Source organism: Homo sapiens, chromosome 6 (genome assembly GCF_000001405.40).
Source record: "Homo sapiens chromosome 6, GRCh38.p14 Primary Assembly".
Classification (NCBI taxonomy): domain Eukaryota; kingdom Metazoa; phylum Chordata; class Mammalia; order Primates; family Hominidae; genus Homo; species Homo sapiens.
The window spans coordinates 14,412,751-14,437,299 of record NC_000006.12 but is presented as its reverse complement, the minus strand read 5'-3'; the positions used below and the strand labels follow the sequence as shown (position 1 = coordinate 14,437,299).

General features: G+C 41.0%; 2 long non-coding RNA genes across 8 annotated transcripts in view; one reads left to right on the top strand and one right to left on the bottom strand.

The window, feature by feature from the left end:
- LOC101928331 (uncharacterized) overlaps positions 1-5,520 on the bottom strand; it is an 84,318-nt gene extending 78,798 nt beyond the window's left edge. For 3 of the 4 annotated variants that reach the window (XR_001743997.3, XR_001743999.3, XR_007059467.1), the window contains exon 1: positions 5,226-5,363. This is a non-coding gene — a long non-coding RNA (uncharacterized LOC101928331). Of the gene's footprint in view, positions 1-5,225 lie in introns of all 4 variants that reach the window. The other variant, XR_001743994.3, reaches the window with a different exon arrangement.
- Positions 1-16,626, top strand: part of LOC105374942 (uncharacterized) — a 41,263-nt gene extending 24,637 nt beyond the window's left edge. For 2 of the 4 annotated variants that reach the window (XR_007059469.1, XR_007059468.1), the window contains 2 exons: positions 5,034-5,118; positions 5,358-8,389. This is a non-coding gene — a long non-coding RNA (uncharacterized LOC105374942). Of the gene's footprint in view, positions 1-5,033; positions 5,119-5,357; positions 8,390-10,285; positions 10,643-10,832 lie in introns of those variants that run through there. The other 2 variants (XR_926511.3, XR_926510.3) reach the window with 2 other exon arrangements.
- Positions 16,627-24,549: the final 7,923 nt, after the last annotated feature.

Sequence of the window (24,549 nt, the reverse complement as noted above, 5' to 3'; positions counted from 1 at the left end):
TATGTCTTCCCCAAATTTCTTTGTCACCAGTTTTCCAATGGAGCTCCTTCTACATCCCTGACCATCCAGGCAAACCATTGATCACAGCTCATAAATGAGGATAAGCAAATGCCAACCCATTTCTCTTTCCAAGCAAAGTGAACAACAAGGTGCACTACTCAAAGTTCTGTCCACTGGGAGGAATTGCTTTCACCAGCATCCTTCAGAGATGTCCCAGAAAGGGGCAGTAGTGCTGCAGCTGTCTACCTTCAGGTGGTGCCTGCATATTGTGCAGAACCATCTGTAAACCAGGCCTGAGCCTTCTCTTCCTCTGTTACTGATCATAGGAAACTCCCCATGAGACTGGGAGAGATAAGGCAGTGTAGCAGAAGTGGGAACCATGGGCATCTGTGTCACTTCTTCATGTAACTCACTTGTGCCTGCAGGGCCTGCTCAGTCCCAATCAGTCAAATCACTTCCATTTGATGAATAGAATGCTTCTGTGCACACTGACGTTATAACTTGCTGTGTAAGAAAACACCCAGTTCATGATGGGCAGCTCAGGTTACATGGTAACAGGGTAACCCATAGTTAAGCATTTAGTCTTTACGAAGGCTCAGCAGCAGGCCAAAAGCTGTTTCTCAAAAGGAGAGTAGTTATCTGTGGAGACTGGCAGGGCTTTGCTCCCAAATCCAAAGGCCTGCATTGCAGTTCACCCATAGACGCCTGACAAAAGCTCCAAACAGCATCCCTATGTGCCACTGACACTCTAAGCACCATTGCTTGGCCCTGCTGGATCTTATGGCCCAAGCAGCAGAGCAGTTTGCACAGCAGCCTGGCCTGTTGCAGAGTCTTCTCTTGTTCTGGGGCCCACTCGATATTAGCAGCTTTTTGGGTCACAGTAACACACCCAAATGAAGAATATGTTGCCTCCAAAATCCGAAGAAGCCCAGTAGGCATTGTGCTTCTCTTTTGGTTGTAGGAGGGGCCAGATGAAACAACTTAGCCCTCCCTTAGAAGGGATATCTCAATAAGCTTCACAACGTTGGATGCCTAAAACTTTCACTAAGGAGAAGGCCCCTGAAGCTTGTTGGATTTATTTCCCACCTTCTTACATGCAAATTTCTTACCAATAGGTCTAAAGTAGTTACTACTTCTTGCTCACTAGGTCCAATCAACATAATGTCATCAATCAAATGGACCAACGTAATACCTTGTGAAAGCGATTGAGACCCTCATGAATTAGATTATAATATAGTGCTGGAGAGAGTTGACATACCCCTGAGATAGAACAGTAAATGTGTATTGCTGGCCTTGCAGTGAAAGAAAACTGCTGTTGGTAGTCTTTATTGATAGATATGAAGAAAAACGCATTCGTCAGATCAATAGTTGCATATCAGGTTTCAGAGTATATGTTAATTTGCTCAAGCAATGAAACCACATCTGGTACAGCAGCTGCAAGTAGAGTCACCACCTGGTTAAGCTTATGATAATTCACTGTCATTCTGCAAGATCCAACTGTCTTCTACATAGGTCAAATAGGCAAGATGAATGGGAATGTGGTGGAAATCACCACCCCTGCATTTTTCAAATCTCCGATGGTGTCACTAATCTCTGAAATCCCTTCAGGGATGCAGTATTGCCTTTGGCTTACTATTTTCCTACATAAGGGCAGTTCTAGTGGCTTCCTCTTGGCCCTTCCCACCATAATAGTCCTCATCCCACAGTTTAGGTAACCCATGTGGGGATTCTGCCTGCTGCTGAGTGTATCTATTCCAATTATGCATTCCAGAACTCGGGAAATAACCACAGAAAGCTTCTGAGACCCACTGGTCACTGGGACAAGACCTGAGCTAAAACTCCATGAGTCATCTTACCTCCATAAGCCCCTACTCTGGCTAGTGGACCACAGTGATGTTTCCTGTCTCCTAGATTCCATGTCAGTTCAGAGCCTTTGTCTGGTAGTACCCAGAATATCTGATTACTTCCTTTTCCTCAAGGCACATTTACCCTGGTAAAAGGCTATAGGTCCCTTTGGGGAGGCTTGGGGAAAAAGTAACAGTATAAATTATTGGCAGTGTACCACGGTCCTTTATCAAGGGGGCCCAACTTCCTCTTCATTCAAGGGGTTCTGGCTCTGTAAACTGGCTTAAGTCTGGGAATTCATTTAGGGGCCATGATTCCCTGCTTTTATGATTCAAGATAGACTTTTGCTCACTTGAACTTTGCTGTTTACACAGATCAATTAATAATTTAGTAGGCTTTCTATCTGTTTCACTTCTGAAAACATCACGATCAACTAGCTAATGCCATTGGTCTGTGGAAGCCAGGCTATTCTGATTGCTGCTTTGACTCTACTGTCCCTTAAGGTAACCACACTCACTTTGCCTTTGGTGGTTAAGAGCTGCCACATGGCTCCTGCCACCCTAGGATCCAATCACTCCATTGCATTTAGGTTTCCCAGTTCAGTGACTGCAGATCCCACTGTAAAGTCTCACCTACACAGAAGAGTGATCACGGAGTTTTTCAAGGGTACCAGGGATTCCATCACAAATTTATGTCTCACAATCATGGTGAAAAATATGTCTTCTGGACTCTCCCTGAGTGAGGGGGAAGATACTAAATGACAAATCCTCTCTAACATTTCAATCTCCCTAAGCCTTTGCATCTCTTCCTCTATATTAAACCAAGGCAGTCTAGCATTTTGAACTCACTCAATATTGCCCACCTTTTGGTCCATGTTTCAGCCAACCAACCAAATTTAGTCCCTTTGTGTTGCTATGAAGGAATATCTAAGACTGGATACTTTATAAAGAAAAGAGGCTTCTTTGGTTCATGGTTCTGCAGGCTGTACAAGAAGCATGATGCCAACATCTGCATCTAGTGAGGGCCACAGGCTGCTTCCAGTCATGGCAAAAGGTGAAGGGGAGCTGGTGTGTGCAGATCACATGGCAAGAAAGGAAGGTGGTGGGGAGGGAGGTACTGAGCTCTTTTAAACAACCAGCTCTTGTAGGAACAAATAGAGCAAGAATTCACTCACTCTTGCAAGAATGGCACCAAGTCATTCCTGAGAGATCTGCCCCCTGATCCAACACCTCCTACTGTTCCCCACCTCCAACACTGGGAATCAAATTTCAGCATGAGATTTGGAGGGAACAAACAAACTAAAGTATAGCACAAACAATTAGAGCCCTTTCGAACGGCCTGAGCTATAATGTTAAATACAGAATCTCTGCTTAGTGAGCCCATATCAATGAATTCCACCTAATCCAACTTTATGTTCCTCCTGCCATTATCCTATACTCTCAATATCCACTCCCACACGTTTCCCAGATTTCTATCTGTATAAATTAGAAAATTCCAGTAGTTCTTTTGAACTGTGGTATGCTTCCTTGTGAGTTACATTTTGTACCTTACCTTTAGGAGCCTACTAGGACTTGAATCAAGTTATAGGTCTAGAAGCACAGAGGGGTGATATAAATGGATCTTGAGGAGAATCACTGTCTAGCATAGCATCTACCACAGAGGAGGTCATTACAGTTTTCGAGGACAATGCAAGTTTAATCCCACCAGTTGAGAGGTGAGGGGGTGGAGAAGCCACTACCACTGGGAGTGGGAAGGTGGCTTCCCCAGAGGTTAGAGAGGCCTCTTCCACTGGCAAATATTTATCAGATTCCAGGGGCTCGATTTCCCCAGTTTCATCAGGTCTTCCTACATATCCCCATTCCAGCTCTCAAAGTGCATATCTTCCTCACTTCAACGTTTGACTTCCTGTGAGGCTGAGAGTTTAACCTGGGCAGTCATTCAGCCAGTCTCAGGATAAGATTCTGTGTTTGATTTTCAGCAATCATAGCCCTGCTGCTAAAGGCAATAATGATCTTGCAGGGCACCTGTAGAAGATTTCAGGTCTTGTACATGGGGCTTAAGCTGAAGATTCAAATCCTGGAGCTCATCCTTTCCTTTCCCCACTTTGCCCAGTGACATTTGGATCAACCAGCCAATCTCATACTTGTTAGTTTGCAAAAAGTGTTCGTAAGTATATACATAGCTCCCCACCGCCCCCCCGCCCATTGCCCCCGCAGCTCCTTGCTTCCTACAAGGGGTTGCTAAGGAGTATCCAAAGGTGCTGTTTTACGTATCTCTATTGCCAGATCATGCCATGGACTACCAGTGCTCTCATTACTACTAAAAATAAAGTCATTAGCATCTTGAAATCTAATCAGATTAGAGAGTCAATTCCAGAAACCGCAGAACCATTTCAGAAAACCTGTCCTTAACATTCTTTTTTTTTTTCTTTTTAATTTAATCATTTAATTTTTTTGAGACAGGGTCTCATTCTATTGCCCAGGCTGTAGTGCAGTGGTGCTATCGCAGCTCACTGCAGCTTCAACTGCCCGGGTTCAGGCAATTTTCTCACCTCAGCTTCCTGAGTAGCTGGGACCACAGACACACTACCCTATGCCTGGCTAGTTTTTTTTTTATTATTTGTAGAGAAGAGGTCTCACTATGTTGCCCAGGCTGCTCTCAAACTCCTGGGCTCGGGCGATCCTCCTACCTTGGCCTCCCAAAGTGATGGGATTACAGGCACAAGCCACAGCACCTGGCCTTCATCCTTAACATTCTGTTTCTCTAGAACTATTCAAGGAAGTGGGGATAGTCATACAATATTGCAAATGTACTAAATGCATGGAATTGTACACTTAAAAATGTTTAAAATACTAATTTTATGTGTATTTTGCCACAATAAAAAAACCACAGTTACAAAAAAGGAAAAGAAATAACCCAGCCTGAATGAAAGTAGGCAAGAGGCAAAAAGACCCTCAATTCAGAGTTTAACTCAACAGAAAGTGCTGATCAATTTGTTAGTGGATAAGGATAAAAGCTCAGAGTTTTAGAGTTTTAAGAAATAAAATATGAATCTAAGGTTTTCGATCTGTAATTTTACGTTCATCTTTCTTCTAGGATTTAATCAAAAGTCTTTTCAACTTTTGGCCCGATGATTCTATGCTAATTTGCACTTTCAACTTAACATTCATATGGTCATTTTGTCCCAGGCAGAATTAAAGATTCAAGATGTACCTACTTCTTCCGGGGACAACATTCATGATTCTTAAAGATTTCACAAGTGTACCTTCTAAGGTAAATTATAAACAGTGCCAAAGAATTTGCTTCACCGCATGCCTATAGGGTTGTGAATCAGGCTTAACTCTTCCTCCCCCACCCCCATTCCCCCATTCCCATCTCACCTGACATCTTCCTTTGACCTACTTTTTCAGAAATCAAAGAAGTAATCTTAGGTGGTGATTTGAAGTCCCACGCCATTTGTACTTGCTCCTCTTAATCTACTCTGCTTTCTGTTCCTTCTTTCTACTGCCCAGGGTAAGTGGCTGGAAGTAGTAAGAGGTCAATGCCAAGTGAAATCCTCTGGCGTTTTCTTCTGACAACCAGGAGTCTGCAAAGTGAGTTTGCTGGGAGCGTCCAGTTTTTTCAGCTTAACGTTAGGTGTACTTTCTGTCTTCGGCACAAATTGTTTCCAAATGCCTGTGGGTTGCAATATGATTTTCCCATCTTGAAAATCTATTAAAAAGGAAGAGATTCTTCACTTCTCCCCACCCCACCTCCAGGCACTGCAGATGGCGATTAACACCCTACACAGCCCCTCCCCATAGCATCATCGATTTTCTGCCTGCATTGCATCTACTTCACAGTTCGAGACATGCCAAATCACACACGTTCTAAGTACTTGTTGCTAGCAACAAATCTCTGTTCCTCAGTGGCCAAGCAGACTATATTTGGAATGTCAGAGCACCTAGCCCTTCCCTGGCCCACTTCCTTTAGCTCAGAAGTCTCCAAGCCTGAAAGTAACCTCACCCGTGTTTCCTTGAGTTCTGCTTGTTGAAGCAACTCTTTGGATTAACTCCGCAAAACACAAAGTGACAGCAAAACAGAGAAACAATCAGATTCTTTTCCATGAACTCCTTTCTTTTCTATAAAAGTGTTATTAATCCCTATCTTATGGGACAATTGTGAATGTATTTAATGAGCTCATCAAAATATACATACACATACATATATATATAGAGGGGGGGGGTTGGGGGGAGAGAGAGAGAGAGAAAGAGAGAGAGTCTCACTCTGTGGCCCAGGCTGGAGTGCAGTGGCACAATCTCAGCTCGCTGCAACTTCCATCGTCTCCCAGGTTCAAGCAATTCTCCTGCCTCAGCCTCCCAAGTAGCTGGGATTACAGGCGCTCGCCACCAAGCCCAGCTAATTTTTTTTATTTTTCTTTTTGGAGACAGAGTCTCGCTCTGTTGCCCAGGCTGGAGTGCAATGGGGCAATCTCGGCTCACTGCAACCTCCGCCTCCCGGGTTCAAGCATCCTGCCTCAGTCTCCCTAGTAGCTGGGACTACAGGCAAATGCTGCCAAGCCAGGCTAAATTTTTTTGTATTTTAATAGAGATGGGTTTCACCGTGTTGCCCAGGCTGGTCTCGAACTCCTGAGCTCAGACAATCCACCCGCCTCGGCCTCCCAAAGTGCTAAGATTACAGGCATGAGCCACTGTGCCCGGCCTAATTTTTGTATTTTTACTAGAGACCGGGTTTTGCCATGTTGGTCAGGCTGGTCTCACACTCCTGACATCAGGTAATCTGCCGACCTCAGCCTCCCAAAGTGCTGGGATTACAGGCATGAGCCACCTTGCCCAGCCTGAGCTCATCAAAATATTAAAACTAGTGCATTTTTAATGGCAGTGTAGACCTAGCACATGGCTGGCAGTGTATAACTGCCAGGTGTTTCTCCTCTTTTCCTCACCCTTTCTCTCTCTTTTTTATTGAGGTGAAATTCACATAACATAAATCAAATCATTTTAAAGTGAACAATTAAATGGCATTTTATACTTTCCCAGTGTTGTGCAATCACATCTCTATCTAGTTCCTAAATATTTCCATCCCCCCCAGAAGGAAACGCATCCCCTTTAACCACTCTCCATTTCCCTCTCCTCAGCCTTCACAAACAACAATCGACTTCCTGTCTCCATGCATTTACCTGTTCTGGTTATTTTATATAAATGGATTTATATAATATGTGTCTGGTTCCATTCACTTAATGTAATATTTTTGAGGTTTTTTCACCTTGTATCACGTTTTGGTAATTCATTTCTTGTTATATCTGAACAATATTCTGTTGTATGAATATACCACAGTTTGTTGTCTATTTATCTATGGATGAACATTTGGGCTGTTTCACCTTTTGATGTTTGTAAATTGTAAGTAGTGCTGCCATGAACACATATGTACATGTATTGGTTTGAGTGCCTGTTTTCAATACTTTTGAGTATATAACTAGGAGTGAAATTGGTATTCACCCTTTTTTTTCTGTTACTTCTCTTAATGATCTCATGTCTGCGTGATCCTTAATGATGCCCCGTTTTAAAATTCCTGACATTGTTTGTCACTAGGTCATTTGTCTCTAGTTTAACTGATCAATCTTGACAGCAATTTTTCACTTTTATTAGTATTTTAAGGAATCAGCCTGTGGTTTTGAGAATCTTGTCTGCTTATACATTTGAATTAGTTACAATGATTGCTTTCTCTTTGGATTTGTTTCGCCACTCCTTTGGTAATGTCCGGAGAGAGCTTCTTAACTGACACGAACGGGGCTCCATTGGTATGTCCTGGGATCCCTCGTCAGGCCTGTGCACTCCCAGACCTCCAAGGGCCGGGACCTGCATTTTTGTCCGAGGGCCGTCCCCAGGCTGCCTGAACTTACTTAGCCTATGGGCATAGTGGGCTGGAGGTGCCTGGGAACTAACAGCGCCAGAGGAAACCTTTAACTAAAGACCAAAGGCTGTCAGGGTGTAAATACTCTTCTTGCCCTTCGGCTGAGATAATTCTGAAGCATATTTTACTTAGTTTTCTAGAGTTCTTCTTGGTAATTAATGCAATCAAGCTCCAGTCTCCTGCTGTGATGACTGCCTTCATAACATACCCTTTATTATTTATCTGTCTTCCCTCCGTATCTCACTTCCTACCTGTTCCTACTTGTCTATTTCCCTGTGAGGGACTGAACTGTGAGCCCCTCAGATTCAACGTACGAAGCCCCTAAATTTATTTGTTCGAGTCTGAAGCCAAAGTACCTAAGAATGTGGCTTTATTTGGAGATACAGCTTTAAAGAGGTGATGAAATTAAAATGAGATCATGAAGGTACACTCTAATCCACTATGACTGGTGTCCTTATAAGAAGAGATTAGGACACAACACACACAGAGGGAATCCCATGGGCAGACACAGGGAGAACACAGACATCTGCAAGCCAAGGGCAGGAGCCTCAGAAGAAACCAAACCTGCTGACACCTTGATCTCAGATTTCAGCCTCCAGAAATGTGAGAAAATAAATTTCTGTTGTTTAAGCCACCTAGCCTGTGATACTTTGTTACGGCAGCCCAAGCTAATTAATTCACTCCCAATTAAACTGTTCGCCCTTGAATCCTTGGCTCAAGGTCTGCTTCTGGGGAACCCAAGCTAAGATTCAAAGTTTATTGATTTTTTTCAGTGTTTCTTCTTTTCTAAATATGCATTTGAAGCTATAAATTCCCTTCTAAGCAAGGCTAACACTCTGATATGTAGTATTTGATAGTGTAATGATAAGTATTTGTAGTATAATGGTAAGCTTTGATATGTAGTATTATTATTTAATTTGAAGTATTTTCCATTGCAATTTCTATTTAACCTGTGGCTTATTATAACTCAGAAGGGTTTCACATTGGCCTTATAGATGCTCCAGCCATGTGTGTCACTTCTGCTCACAACTCAAATGACCAGAACTAGCCACAGGGCTCCACCCAGCCACAGGGGAGCAGAAAGCACAACCTACCGTGTTGGTGTTGCATAGAACATCTTTCTACATGTTTCCTCTTGCGTAGGTGCTAGAATTGCTTTAGAATAGGCTATAAACCTGGGGGTGGAGTCACTAAGTCATCTTATTAAACCCATCTTCCATTTTATTAGAAATTGCCAAGCTGCTTTCCAAAGCGGTTGTGTGAGTACACATATTGCCCATGCACATTGTTCTGCACCTTCACAACCCTTCATATTATCAGACTTTTAAAATTTTTTGGCAATTTTGGAGGCATGAAACAGTATCCTTTTGCATTTTAATTTTCATTTCCCTGACTAATAGGCAGGTCAGGTTTGTTTGTTTGTTGTTGTTGTTGTTTGAGACGGAGTCTTGCTCTGTCACCAGGCTGGAGTGCATTGGCACGATCACAGCTCACTGCAACCTCCACCTCCTGGTTTCAAGCAATTCTCCTGCCTCAGCCTCCCAAGTAGCTGGGACTACCGGCACCTGCCACCACGCCCAGCTAATTTTTGTATTTTTAGTAGAGACGGGGTTTCACCATGTTGGCCACGATGGTCTCTTGACCTCATGATCCACCCACCTTGGCCTCCCAAAGTGCTGGGATTACAGGTGTGAGCCACCGGGCCTGGCCAGGTCAGGTCTCTTTTATACCACATGTCCTGTGATGGTCTCTACTTTATATAACTGTATTTTTAAAATAAATTTTATGAAACATTTTCCATTTTAATAAAAATTAAGTTTATATCCTATTTGATAATAATTTGTGGCTCATTTCCCAATAGATTACATCATAATTCTCTAAAACTAATCCTTGCATTTTAGCAAGACTTCAGGTCTATTTAATTAGCAAGGCTGAATTTAAGAATGAACTTGAACTTTATCAGGGGTCAGTAAACTGTTTTTTTGGTAAAAGACCAATAGAAATATTTTATTTTATATATTTTTTTGCTTTGCAGGCCACATGGTCTCTGTTGCAAGTACTCAGCTCTGTTGGTATAGCAGAAAAGCAGATATAGACAATATGGTGTGGCTGTGCTTCCATAAAACTTCACTTGTGGACTCTAAAATGTAAATTTTGTGTAATTTTAGTTTGTCACAAAATATAACTCTTCTTTTGACTTTTTCCTCAGTTATTTAAAAATGTAAAAATCATTCTTGACTCAGGCTATATAAAAAAGAGGCAACAGGCCATAGTTTGCTCTTGGGCCCTAGCTTGGCACCCCCTGAACTATATGAAAGCTTGACTCTAAAGGCAAAGAATGTGATAGAAGCTGTGTACCTGCTGTTAATGCAACTCACATTGCAATCAACACGAAAGATTAAGATCTCGGCCAGGTCTTTCAATCCTCTTTCTCTGTTTTTGTGCCTTACAAGGATTTTCTTAGATAAGTTTCATGAGCATGGTAGATCCAATGGTCTCAAAAGATTTATCCTGCATTCTGCATGCACAGGTGTTTCACACAGCAAAGCCCAGGAGCACAGGTCTTGCAGCCTCTGGATAACCAACTCGTCTCTCACCAGTGGTTCAAAAAAGCCCATGCTATCCTCATCCAAATAAACTTATGAAATGCTTTACCAAATGATTTGTTCAGAACAGTGAATACTAGACACAACTTTGTGTGGAACAAGAGGAGATCCAGTAATGACAATACATCTTTTGTTAGAAAGACTTACAAAGGCTGTGACATTCTTCTTTGAAGTGTTGTCATTGTGTTGGATGGGATGAAGTGGTTCTAGGACACACAAAAAAGGATCAAGAACATCTGAGAAGACTACAGATAAGTCCTTACTGCTGATTTTGGACACAGGTAGGTTACAGAGATGTTACACAAGCCCTCTGGCTTGTCAGTAACCCAGGGATCTGCCTCTGCAAGGCTAATACCATGGTCATTATACTTTATCTCTCTGAAATGCTCTGGAGTCTATTCCGCATATAATTGGATGTTTGTTCAGATAGAAAACCACACTTTGGCCAAATAAGTCTTTGGTTTCTTCCAGGTCAGCCATATGAAGATTCAGATGAGCAGTCTGTGCTTCCTTTGCCTTATCTCTCAAGAGCTGAGACCTTATTTCTATTCCACCTTGAACAATTTTGTTTGAGTACAACATATTTACTGATATGGTCAGCTCAAGTCATTGTGGAATGAATACTTAGATGCTGCGTTCTTCCAAAAACTGAGCAGAACCTCCCTTCTGTGAACATTTTCAATAGGTTGTTTTCAAGGTGAGAAAGTGGGAGGGAGAAGGGGATGAGCATTGAAGTAAATATTTTTTTCTTCTTCTACTTTTGCTACTGGGAATGTTCCTATCCAGGAAGGCAGGTCCCCTTTTATTTTATCAGATGCAGAGGAGTTATCGTACCTCTGTTACCAATTCTTTATCCATAATTTATGTTAGTAACAAGGGACCTGTTGCTAGCAGTTACTGATGAAAACAAAAGCTGGTGGCTTTCTGGAAGAAGGGGGCGTGTGATCTCAAGAGAGTTGCATCATGGCCATACTCCTCTAAGTTTCTAATTTTTTTTCCTTTTTTTTTTTTTTTGAGACAGAGTCTCATTCTGTTGCCCAAAGTGGAGTGCAGTGGCTCGATTTCAGCTCACTGCAACTTCCGCCTCCCGGGTTCAAGCAACTCTCCTGCCTCAGCCTCCCGAGTAACTGTGACTACAGGCCCGTGCCACTATGCCTGGCTAATTTTTGTATTTTTTGTACAGACAGGGTTTTTCTATATTGAGCACGCTGGTCTCAAACTCCTGACTTCAGGGGATCTGCCTGCCTCGGCCTCCCCAAGTGCTGGGATTACAGGCATGAGCCACCACGCCTGGCTTCTAATTGTCTTTTTAAAAGCCTTTTCCCCTTTTGTGTGTGTGAGTTATCTTCACTCTCACTGGCCACCAATAACAAAAAAAAAAAAAAAAGAAAAGAAATAAAGAAGTGGGAGATGTTTAGAACATTTCTGTGATGTCAAGGCAGATCCAGTAATTAAAGTTTTCCCTTCTTCCTATCTCGATTTGATCCCAATGCACATTTTTTTTTAGGTAAGTAACTTCAGATTTCCTAATCCACTATAGCATTTAATTCTCAGGCTGTTAATGGAGTAGAAGTCATTCCTGTGGCTGGCATATCTGAACTGCCTGCATATCAATATCTGTTGAGACATAGCACCAAATAATCATTCGAAGCCCAGAAGTGAATAAGAACAATCCATTCACGCGTGGGACATTTATTGGATATCGTCTATTTTAAAAACATTGGCTCATCACTCTGGGATATGAATAAAAAATTAGAGGAGAAAAGATGAATATAAAAACATATGGTAACTGAAGAAGGACTGAAGAGCTGATGGCAAGGATTCTGTCTCAGGTGTTTCCAAAGGCAGAGAGAGTCTACGAGTCAATTCCAAAGACATGTGTTCTCCCTTCCTCCAATTCAGCTACCACCAAGGCTCCACCTGGCCCTTTAGGGACTCACGCTCCACTTACATTTCTGGGAGGAGAACAAAACTGGTTCTTCCTTAGGAACCAAAACAGTAACATGGGCCCTGTGCTGATCTGAAAGGTATTTTTATTTAAGGAAAAGACTTGGCTTTTTTCATGTTAAGGTTAAATATTTTCTCTGGGGACTGTGATGAACACCTCCTGAAAAGTAAAAATCTAACGGTGTGTGTGTGTGTGTGTGTGTGTGTGTGTGTGTGTGTAGGTGTGTAGGACGTTTTCTCTAGAATTCTAAAATTTCTTTTCTTAGGTAATAATTTTCACATTTGCTAAGTTCTGAATGAATCTAAACTATTTTGCTTTGAGTTTGTCTTCCTATTACTAATCCATTTTCTGCTCTAGAAGATTTTGAAGATAAGGTAGGTTTTGAACTTAGCCCACTGACTGCCAAGCAATAGTCATTTACATGGAAAGCAAAAAAAAGAAGTTATTGGCATCAGAATTGACTCAGTCATTAAAATATTCCACACCTAGATTTCTCAAAGAACTAAAAACAAAACTACTATGTGACCCAATCTCACTACTGGGGATACACCCAAAGAGAAAGAAGTCATTATATCAAAAAGATGTCTGTACTCAAATGTTTATCACAACGCTGTTCACAATAGCAAAGACATGGAAGCAACTGAAGTGTTCATCAGTGGAGGACTGGATAAAGGAAATGGGATAGACTATTCACCATGGAATACTTGTCCATCCATAGAAAAGAACAAAATCATGTCTTTTGCAGCAGCATGGATGGAACCGGAGGCCATCGTCCTAAGTGAAATAACTCAGAAACAGAAAGTCAAATACCACATGTTCTCACTTATAAGTGAGAGCTAAACAATGAGTACACATGGACATACACAGTGAGTGGAATAATAGACGCTGGAGTCTACAGAAGATGGGAAGGTGGGAGGGGCTTGACAATCGGAAAGTTACCCATTGGGTACCATGTTCTCTATTCGGGTCATAAGTTCACTAAAAGCCCAGACTTTACGTCTATGCAATATATGCCTGTAAGAAATCCACACTTGTACTCCCTAAAGGTATAAAAATTAAAACTAAATAAATAAATAATTAAATAATCCATACCTAAACCATTTGCAGTGGAAGATTTTTGCACAGTTTTATTTTCTCGGGGTCATTTCCTACCCTGAGTTTTGGCCATCTGCATATGGTTATGGAATTACTGTCTCTTAGGATGCTCTTTACTCTTTCCTGAGCTGGTGAAACCTAGGGGAATCACTAGAATAAACTTCACTCTCTATTTATGCGGATTTGCTTCACAGGGAATCCTTTGTATCAACTGAGTCACTGCCATCAAAATATCCATGAGAAGTTCACATAACCTCATTTCCCTCTGTTAATGTTACTGAGTAAAGCACAAGACAGGAATATTCTTAGAGGATATATGGCTTCCTCTTAATCAGAGCTGGCTTAGAGTGGAGAAACAGGGTCCCTGGGGACAAAGCAAGGCACTCATGAACTCTGGCCACTGTAAGACAAACAATGGGGAGACCTTATTCTTAATTTAGATTCTAAGCAAAGGTTTTCCTGGTGACCTAGTTCCTCTGGAGCAATCGCACTGCTCCAGTGATGTTTTAGCGACTTGCCCTGGTACCCTGAGTTCCCACCTTGCCGCTCGTCTCACATTTTCTTTCAGGATATCTGGATTTTTCCTCTGATTTACACATTTCCTCTATAATTCTGCACAATACCAAAAATAAATATAATTTCCTTCCTCTTAAAACTCAATAACCATTAGGCTAGAAGAAGAGGTACCATTTGGCAAAAAAAAAAAAAAAAAACTCTCCATATCACATCCTGCCTAGCGGTAACCTCAAACTTGATCTCACAGTGAGGACAGCCTGATTTTTCTCATGCTTAGGAAATCACCAAGCCATGGTAACACTTTCCTGGATGTAGCTATTGTAGCGTACTGGGGCCCCTGAGCCATGCAGGGTCACACAGTTTGTCTGGGGTGAGAGGTCTCATTCAAAATGCATTACACCAAATTTTCCTTTCAATGAAGTTTTGGCTGTACCACCTCCACTGCCCCACCTGTAAAAAGAGGAAACTTCTCTTATAAGAGAATGAGAAAAGAGGGAAGAAGGAGGAGTGTCCAGATGGATAGAAGGGGAGGGGAAGGTGGTTTCTTTTTTTCTTTTCCTTTTTTTTTTTTTTTTGAGATGGAGTCTCACTCTCTCACTCAGGCTGGACTGCAGTGGTGGTATCACTGCAACCTCCGCCTCCCAGGTTCAAGCGATTCTCTTGCCTCAGCCTCCCAGGTAGCTGGGAACTAAAGGCGCACGCCACCACGCCCAGCTAAGATTTTTGTATTTTTAGTACAGGTGGTGTTTCACCATGTTGGCCAGGCTGGACTTGAACTCCTGACCTCAGGTGATCTGCCCGCCTCGGCCTCCCAAAGTGCTGGGATTACAGGCGTGAGCCACCGCACCCAGCCCCGGAAGGTGGTTCTATAAAGACCTGGCCTTCCTCCGGCTCTCATCTGCCGATAGTCTAGAAGAGCAGATTCTGGGAGGCCTGATTCTACAGCTGCCCACGGATGTTTAGAGGCACTGACGCACCAGCTTTCCTCTACCAAGGAAGATCCCTTAAATCACCCACAACGAACAGTGCATCATCTTTCAATGGAGGCAATTCAGCCCGTTTTTCCCATTATTGGAACATATCTCTGCTTCTCTTCCTGAGCACTAAAGTAGTTGGCATGCATTTAGGAGCCATGTTGTGTGAAAAATATGGCTCACCATGTAGTTGGATGTGAGTAAGTTGGATGTGACTGGGATCTGTCTCCACTGTAATGCAAAAGGTATGGGCATTCTCCCGCCTGGTCCTTGAGATCCCTGGCGGAATATCTGTGATCTTCTAAATTTAATATAGTTACAGGGTAATTGACAGGCAGGACTACACTTCCCTTCTTCCCCAGGAAATGCCTGTATTCATTCTATGTTAAATTTGTTTGATTTCAAAGATCCACTGGGTAATTCATGGCTTCCTGCTCTTTCCCTTACCCAAATGCCTTCCCACTCTATTTATGAGTCCAGAACAGGTCAACATTTGAGGACCTAGTAAATCAAGTTGAGTTTGGATTTCCGTTGCAATTTTGTGACTTCCTATATGAGCACTTTATTATCACAGAGAAGGAAGTCTGGGGAGCAGGACAGAGATAGTTCAGAGAAGTCTCCACTAATATTTATAAAGACATTATGTAAAAGCATTCTCCCCAGCCCCCACATCTCCCCTTTTTTTAACACCCAGAATTCCAAAAGAATGAGCATTATTTTCATTGATTGCTGCCACAAGCAAGAAGAATAGGGCCAATCTATATTTTCCCCCACAAAATTTGGAGAGGCATGATATATAGAGAGAAGCCTAAAGGAAAAAAATACATGCAAGTATAATAGAATGGTGTTTGCTTATTGTGATTTGTTAATATATGTTCCTTGAACTGAACTAGATAAAAGTAAATAAATACTATGAAGATTTGTCTTGTGCCAGTATGCTTAAAAAGGAATTTTATTTCATCCTTCCTGTCATCTTGCAACATTTCCAAATATTAATTTAAAAATTTCATAATTCCAATATATATTTTGCATCAGGATAAGGCATATTGTGTTGAAAAAATTGTCACAATTTTCTTTCCTTTTTTAGAGACAGAGCCCACTGTGTTGCCCAGGCTGGCCTCAAACTCCTGGGGTGAAGGAATCCTCCCACCTCAGCCTCCCAAGTAGCTAGGACTATTGGTGTGCACCATCAAGCCCGCCATCACAATTTTCTAATCCATTCCCAGGCTGATATAATTATTGAACCTGAAAGAGTAAATACAGATAGGTGACAAAATCAAAATTGGAGGTTAAGCTTGTCTTGTCCAGTCCAGATCCTGCTTTCAAACAAGATTTGGGATATTGTCTCAGAGAATTCCCAACAAATATAGAATGAAATAAAATCCATATGAGAGAAACAAATAAAGAGCTGTGGGAAAGCAAAGGAGGAGGTGGTCAGGTCTGTGAGAAAGTTCTGAGAACACTTTCACAGAGAAGATAATAGTGGAGCAAGAGGCATGGACCCCACTGGTTCTGCCTTACATGGTACCAGAAGCAGCCTAGCTTAACAGTTAGTAGATTCTCAATAAGAAGTTGTTGAATTTATAATGGAAGGAAAGATGAAGAGAAAAGAGCTAAAGTTATACCCTTAGAAAATACCTATATCTAGAGGGCAAAAGAAAGAAAAGGAAGACGACAAGAAGAGGAAGTAAACAGAAAACTATGCAATGTATGAAGGGATGTCAAAGAGAATTTGGTGGGCAGTATTTTCTAATGCTGTAGAATAATGCTACTTAAAGTATGGTCCTCAGACCGGTAGCATAAGTATCAACTGGAAACCTGCTAGTAATACAAATCCTTGGCCCATCCTAGACCTACTAAATCAGAGTCTCTTGGAGTGGGGGCCCAGAATCTGTGTTCAATGAGCTCTCAAAGTGATCTTTACGCACATTAAAGTTTAAGAAAAAATGTGGCATATTTCTGGAAGATAAGTTGCTACTGACATAACTCAAGTTTCTGATTCTTAGAACCAAATTCTTGCAACCTCCTAGGATCTTCCCAGAATTAAGTTGCAGGGAAATCACTGTATTAAATTGCTAATGTATAAATGGTTCAAGGTAAATAGCTTATTGCATGCTTTATTTCTTAAAACCTTTCTTTCATTGTAATGTCCCACTTCAGTAAGAGTGAAAAGGAAAACAGCATTAAACTTCCTCAGTTAATCATACCTAAAAACCACTCCGGTATATTATTAAACAACTCAGTTCACCTCTGTCAGCTACCATCTCAGGGAAAATTACAAAATGTTTTGCATTGAACAAAAATGAAAATACAACATCTCTGAATATACAGGATGAAGATAAAGTGGTACTTGAAGGGATATTCATAGCATTAAGTGATTTTATTAGAAAAGAAAAAAGACCTCAATTTAAAAATCCAAGCTTCCAATTTAAGAAACTAGAAAAAGAAAAGCAAAAGAAACCCAAAGGAAGCAGAAGAAAAAATATATAAAGATAAGAACAGAAATGAACAGAATTTATAAAATAAAACCATAGAGAAAAATCAATGAAATAAAAAGTTGGTTCTTTGAAGGATCAATAGAATTAATAAACTTTTAGCCAGTCTGACAAAGAAAGAGAGAAAACACAAATTACTACTACTGGAAATAAAAGAGGGCACATAACTACAGACTTCACAGATGTTAAAAAGATAATAAAGGAATACTACAAAAACTCTACAGACATAAATTCAAGTTAGATAAAATGAACCAATTCCTTGAAAGACAGACTATCAAATTCACCCAAGAAGAAAGAAAGAACCTAAATAGCTCTATGCTTATTAAAGAAATTAAATTTGTTGTTTAAAAATTTTCAACAAAAGAAATCTTCAGACTCAAATGCTTTCACTCCTTAATTCTACCAAAAATTTAATAATAAAATAATACCAATTGTATATGACTTTTTGTTAAAATAGAAGAGAAGGAGGTTTTATTTATTTATTTATTTATTTATTTATTTATTTATTTATTAGAGACAGAGTCTCCCTCTATTGCCCAGGCTGGAGCGCAGTGGCGCAATCTCGGCTCACTGCAACCTCCACCTCCTGGGTTCAAGCAATTCTCCCGCCTCAGCCTCCCTAGTAGCTGGGACTATAGGCGTGCGCCACCACGCCCAGCTAGTTTTTTTGTATTTTTAGTAGAGATGGGGTTTCACCATTTTGACCAGGCTGGTCTCAAACTCCTGACCTCATGATCCACCCACCTCAGCCTACCAAAGTGCTAGGATTACAGGCATGAGCCTCTGCGCCCGGCCAAAGGAGTTATTTTCTAAATCATTCTTTTAGGTCAACAATACCCTGACATAAGATCAAGACAAAGACAGTATAGGAAAAGATAACTGCAGAAGAATATCTCCCATAAACATAGATTAAAAGTTCTCAAAACAATATACTAGGAAATCAAATCCAACAGTATATAAAAAGAATAATACATCACAATTAACTACAATTTATCCTGGGAATCCAAGGTTTGTTCAATAGCAAAAAGTCGATCAGGCATGTTGGTATGTACCTATGGTCCCAGCTACTTGGGAGACTGACGCACGAGAATCAGTTGAACCCAGCAGGCAGAGGTTGCGGTGAGCCAAGACCGAGCCACTGCACTCCAGCCTGGACAACAAAGCAAGACTCTGTCTTAAAAAAAAAAAAAAAAGTCAATCAATGTAATCCATCATATTAATAGATTTAAAAAATATTATATCAATTGATGCAGAAAAACCATTTGACAAAATGCAGCATCTATTTGTGATGAAAACTCTCAGCAAACTCTGAAAAAAAGAGAAATTTTTAACTTTGTTTTTTCTTATGATTAGGAGCAAAATAAAAAATCTTTATTCTTAGGCAACATCATACTATAAGTCCTAGCCAGTGTAATAAGGCAAGAGAAAAAAATAAAAAGCACATACCTCTTTATTATTTTTTATTATTTTAAACTGTCCTCATTTAAAGACAATATAATTATCTACATAGAAATAGCCATGGTATCTAACAAAAAGCTCCCTAAAACTAAGTATCTGGAATCCACTCCTGAAATAACTAACCCACTTTCACAATAAGAACATCATTCCATTTATGATGGTGAAGACCTCATGACCTAATCACTTCCTAAAGGCCCCACCTCTTAATACTGCTACAATGGCAATTAAATTTCAACATGAGTTTTGGTGGGGACATTCAATCCATAGCAAATACCATTTATGGAAACTCCCCCAAAATGGAATTTTTACGCGAAAATCTAACAAAACTTATAAAGGATCTGCTTGCTGAAAACTACAAAATGCTAGTGAAAGAAATCAAAGAAGACATAAATAAATAGAGACATATACCATGTTCATGGTTATGATGTCAATCATCCACCACTTAATCTACAGATTTAATGTTATTACCATCAGATTTTGTTTTGTTTGTAGGTACAAAAACATTCTAAACCTTATATTAAAAGGCAAAAGAACTAGAATAGCTGAAACAATTTTGGAAAAGAAAAGAATAAAGTTGGCAGACACACTACTTGATTTTTTTTTCTTTTTTCTTTTTTTTTAAGTATGAGGCCAGGCACAGTGGCTCATGCCTGTAATCCCAGCACTTTGGAAGGCCAAGGCAGGAGGATTTCTTCAACCCAGAAGTTCAAGACCTGTGGGCAAAAAAATGACACCCCATCTCTACAAAAAATCAGAAAATTAGCCAGACATGGTGGCTCAAGCCTGTAGTCTCAGCTACTCAGAAGACTGAGGCAGGAGGATTGCTTGAGCCCAAGAAGCCGAGACTGCAGTGAGTCATGTTCCTGCCACTGCACTCTAGCCTGGGCAAGAGAGTGCTACCCTGTCTGTCCCCGCCCCTGAAGAAAGGTGTGCCTACTGTGTTGCAAACATTGTTTGCTAGGTTCTGGTACTGAGAAAACAAGGAATAAGACATTATCCTTGCCTTGAAGCTGCTTACAATTTGATGTAAACTCACTCTCAGTTTCACCCTGTGACTCCCTTCATCTTATGTTCACAAACACTTTTGTGCCCCTGCTTCCCAGCAGGCAAAACTAATAACAATATATATAGTGTTTGACAGATTTAGAAATACCTAGGCTTTGGACAGGCGCCATTCCATTAAAGCTAATGCTTTCCAGGTCTGCCTGCACTGGGTACTAGAATCTTGACCAAATGTTAACTGGATACCCGGCTTAAATAGTTCTGCTTAAATAATACATTAATGCTGCATTTATTGAGCACATTTTACTACATTTGCATTTGAATTAGGATAATATGCTCTCTGCCTTCAAGGGGCTCTGAGGTTAGTGGGGAAGTCAAACTATAAATAAAGAAATTAATGAAAAAGATGGCATGGGACTGAAAAACAGTCCGGATGCCAGATAATCAAAGGCCTCAAATATTGTGCTAAAAAGTTGCAGTTGTATCACATAGATGATGACAAGCCATTGAAGATTTTAAGCAAAGGAGGGTTCTCAATGACTTTATTCACTCGTTCATTCAGTAAACAGTTACTGAATGTCTACTATACACCTCGTGCTAGTCAAGATTCAGGGAATACAAAAATAACTAAGCCATGACCCTGCCTCTAGCAAGCTCAATACCAAGAAACACCCCACTGTGTGACACGATTCATTTACGAGTGAAGCAGGATATTATCTTGTGGAAATAATCCATGAGATTTTTTTTCTTTTTTCATTGCCCTCCCTCACCCCTCATATAAGTAGCCATTGCTTTAACATCCCCACGTGAGAAGAATGACTGGGTTGAATGCAGAAATCAGCTCACATACTTCCTAGCTTTTGGTTTCAAAAGCCTAAGCTCCAGAGTGGAGAGAATATCACAGAATCAACAAATACCTGGAGCCAGATGAAGGTTGGAGGATTGGGCTAAAGGGTGGATTCTTTCTTCCTCCATCCACTGTCTACCAGACTAGAATCCCTCCTCCCATTGCAGCAAGGAGGAGGGGAGAAAGAGCCTGGGGTCTGTGCATCTCTGAGCAATAGGAGGCCAGATGTGGCTTCTTGGGTATGCTGCTGCAGCTGTAGGAAGTCTGCAGAGAGAGATGGATACCTGGCCATTCAGGCAGCAGATGAAACCAAAGGCAGGTTTGCAAAGATGTCTGTGTTCTAGCCACAGCACATAGGCAGCAGAATGCCAGTGCACCCAAAGGGGCTGTGTGGAAAGAGACCATGGAACTTAGGGGTAAACTGAGTCAGCAGAGGACTGCCAAACAGAGGGCTCTAATACCCCAACTCTAGTACCGTGCAGGGCCTCAGACCTATGGCACAGTCCAGGAGTGGGGAGAGAGGGCCCCAAGGGTGACTGAATTTCAAGTTTTTCTAGCCTGGCAGAAAGTGCACTGTGCTCTAATGAATACAGTGAGATGTCTGTATTAGTCCATTCTCACACTGATATGAAGAATACCTGAGACTGGGTAATTTAAAAAGGAATGAAGTTTAATTGACTCACAGTTCCACATGGCTGGGGAGACCTCAGAAAACTTACCATCATGGCAGAAGGTGAAGGGGAGGCAAGGCACATCTTACATGGCGGCAGGAGAGAGAGAGCATAGGGGAAACTGCCCCTTTTAAACCATCAGATCTTGTGAGAACTCCCTTACTATCACAAGAACAGCAGTGGGGAAACCGCTTCCACGACCCAATCACCTCCTACCAGGTCTCTCCCCCAACAGGTGGGGATTCCAATTTGAGATGAGATTTGGGTAGGGACCCAGAGCCAAATCAATGTCCTACACAACTAAGCAAGTAGACTGAGATTGAGTCCTGCTACACATGTCAAATGACTCTGAGACAGGATAGGTGACAGATTCTGCTAGGTCATAGTGGCTGTGCAGGAGAGGAGAGAGGTCTTCTCAGAGGGCTCAAGTCTGAGCTGAGCTTTGAAGGGTAGGATGAGAACCTGTGTGTTGGAAGGATATTTCAGATAAATGGGACATTTACAGGTATGGCGCCTCCCAGGAAAATTTAAGAAGTTTTGTTTTGTTTTCACACAGTTATATTTTGGATATATGCTGGGGGAAAAAAGTTGGAAAGTCAGGCACAGAAACCAATGTGAAGGGCCTCACTTCTAAGGGTAAGGATTTTGTACTTGAAGATTGAAGAGTTTTAAGTAGTAAATAAACATTATTAGAATGTCACAGATAAACAAGAAAAATTTTCAAGGGTAGGCTGTCATTAAAAAAAAGACAAGAAAAATATGTTAGTGATAATGATCTAACCCACAGTATGTAGCATAAAACTGCATATTATTCCTGAAACTATTAACATAAACATATGCAGTAATAGCTAATGTACAATTAAGGCAAGAATCGCTTCCTTTTGTTCACTGTTTTAGCTTCTAGCATAGTTCCTAAAACACCAAAGTACTAAAAAAATTGTTAAAATGAAAACAAAAGATATTATCTATCTTGTATAATAAAAGGCATCTTGATTATTCAACATTGTATTCTAAGTTCTCAGTATAGCATTTGGCACATAGGTGTTCAGTAAATATTTGAATAAATGAAGGAATTATTCTGTAAGTATAAAAAAACAAAATAATGAACACATAAAGAACATCAGTTAGTATAAAGTTGCAACCACTATAGCTTTCACATGTGAACCTCGTACTTCTGGTGGGAATCAAATGAAACTCTTACTGAAGTAGGACTCATGTAAATATCTCCACTTTGGCCTCAGTCTGTGGCCCACTGTCAACCTGATTATGAACCTCGATCACATAACAGTCTGTGTCCCATGGTGGTTCACACCAGAGGGGTTGTTCCCAACACTGTAAAATTCATTCTCTCTCTCTGTTTATGGTTGTTCACAATTGACTTAAGGGCCTCGGATCTGCACTATATTTGTACAGCCTTGGATAGTTATTTTTGTTCATATGTACTCTCGCACACATCTATGTACTATAGCTCATACAATTTTTTTTTTTTTTTTTTTTTTTTTGAGACAGGGTCTCACTCTGTCACCCAGGCTGCAGTGCAGTGATGCAATCACAGATCACTCCAGCCTCGAACTCCTGGCCTCAAACGATCCTCCCATGTCAGCCTCTCCTAAAGTGCTGGCATTAGAGATGTGAGCCACCATCCCTGGCCTACCTCATGCAATTTAAAGAGGCTATTCTCGGCCAGCCATGGTGGCTCACATCTGTAATCCTAGCACTTTGGGAAGGCAAGGCGGGCAGATCACTTGAGGTCAGGAGATCGAAACCAGCCTGGCCAAAAAGGCGAGACCCCGTCTCCACTTAAAAGAAGTACAAAAATGAGCCCAGCATGGTGGTGCACACCTGTAGTCTCAGTTACTTGGGAGGCTGAGGCAGGGGAATCACTTGAACCCGGGAGGTGGGTTGCAATGAGCCAAGATCTCTGCACTCCAGACTGGGAGACAGAGGAAGACTCCGTCTAAAAAAATAAAATAAAATAAAATAAATTATTTTTTAAAAAGAGGTTATTCTCTAATGTTAGGCCTACAAAACCCTCTGCTGTTGTGTGGACCACTAGTACCTGGGGTGGCTTCTCTGTGCTACTGTGTAGCCAGGTTTTATAAATCACCCTGGTTTTCAAAAAGAATATAACACTCTCTAGTTTAAGAGTTAACAAAACGTCTTTCTCATAATTCTGTAGTTTCTGGTCCTGTATTACTTTATCAATGGGAAATTATTCAACTTTAAAATGGAAGAAAATTCTGACATATGTTACAACATGGATGAGCCTTGAAGACATTATGCCAATTGAATGATATGATTCTACTTATAGGAAGTACTTAGAATAGTCAAATTCTTAGAGGCAGAAAGTAAAATACAGGTAAGCAGGGGTTCAGGGGAGAGAGTGGGGAGTTATTTTTTAAAGGATAGAGTTTCTGTTTGGGGTAATGAAAATGTTCTGGACGTGAACTGTGGTGGTGGATTCACAATGTGAATCTACTTAATGCCACTGAACTGTACACTTAAAAATGTTTAAACTGTTAAGTGTTGTGTTATGTATAGCTTACTACATAAGAAAATTTTTTAAACATTTTTAAAAAGCTAATTGGAGTCTCTGAGCTCATGGCTATGGTTTACACACTGTGAGGTCCAGTAGAATGATCTGGCTCAGCTATTTCTCTGGGGACACCTCCTTGTCAATTTCTTAGTCTTTCCTCTTGGACTAGTTGTATTCTCCAGAGAAAGACCTTCCAAACTTTTGCTTGAAAAATAGTGACAAGTTACCAACATGCTAGAAGCAGAGTGAGGGAAGAGGGCACAGGTCTTGACAGTCAGTATATAAATATGTATTGAACTCTCCTTCAAACCTGCTTAGTCCTCCTTTTATTAAATGACCCCTGCCCTAAACTGCGTCTGGTGGAACCCTGTCCGGAGACCCTCTCTTTGATCCTCTCTGGAGAATAGACCCTCAGGCTTCTGCTGGGCCGAAGGAAAACTGCACAGAGAGGAGGAGATTTCAAGTTTTAAATGGATTTTAACAAGTCCTCCTATTTTGCCCTTGCCCCTTAAGCCCTACTTCTAGAGACAACTGATGCCACCAATTTCCAAGTCTTTGGGGAGTTTTTTAGTGTCATGGGGTTTGTACATCTACTGATTCTTCTACTGGCTTAGATTCATGTTTCTTAGGTCAGATAAGTCAGTTG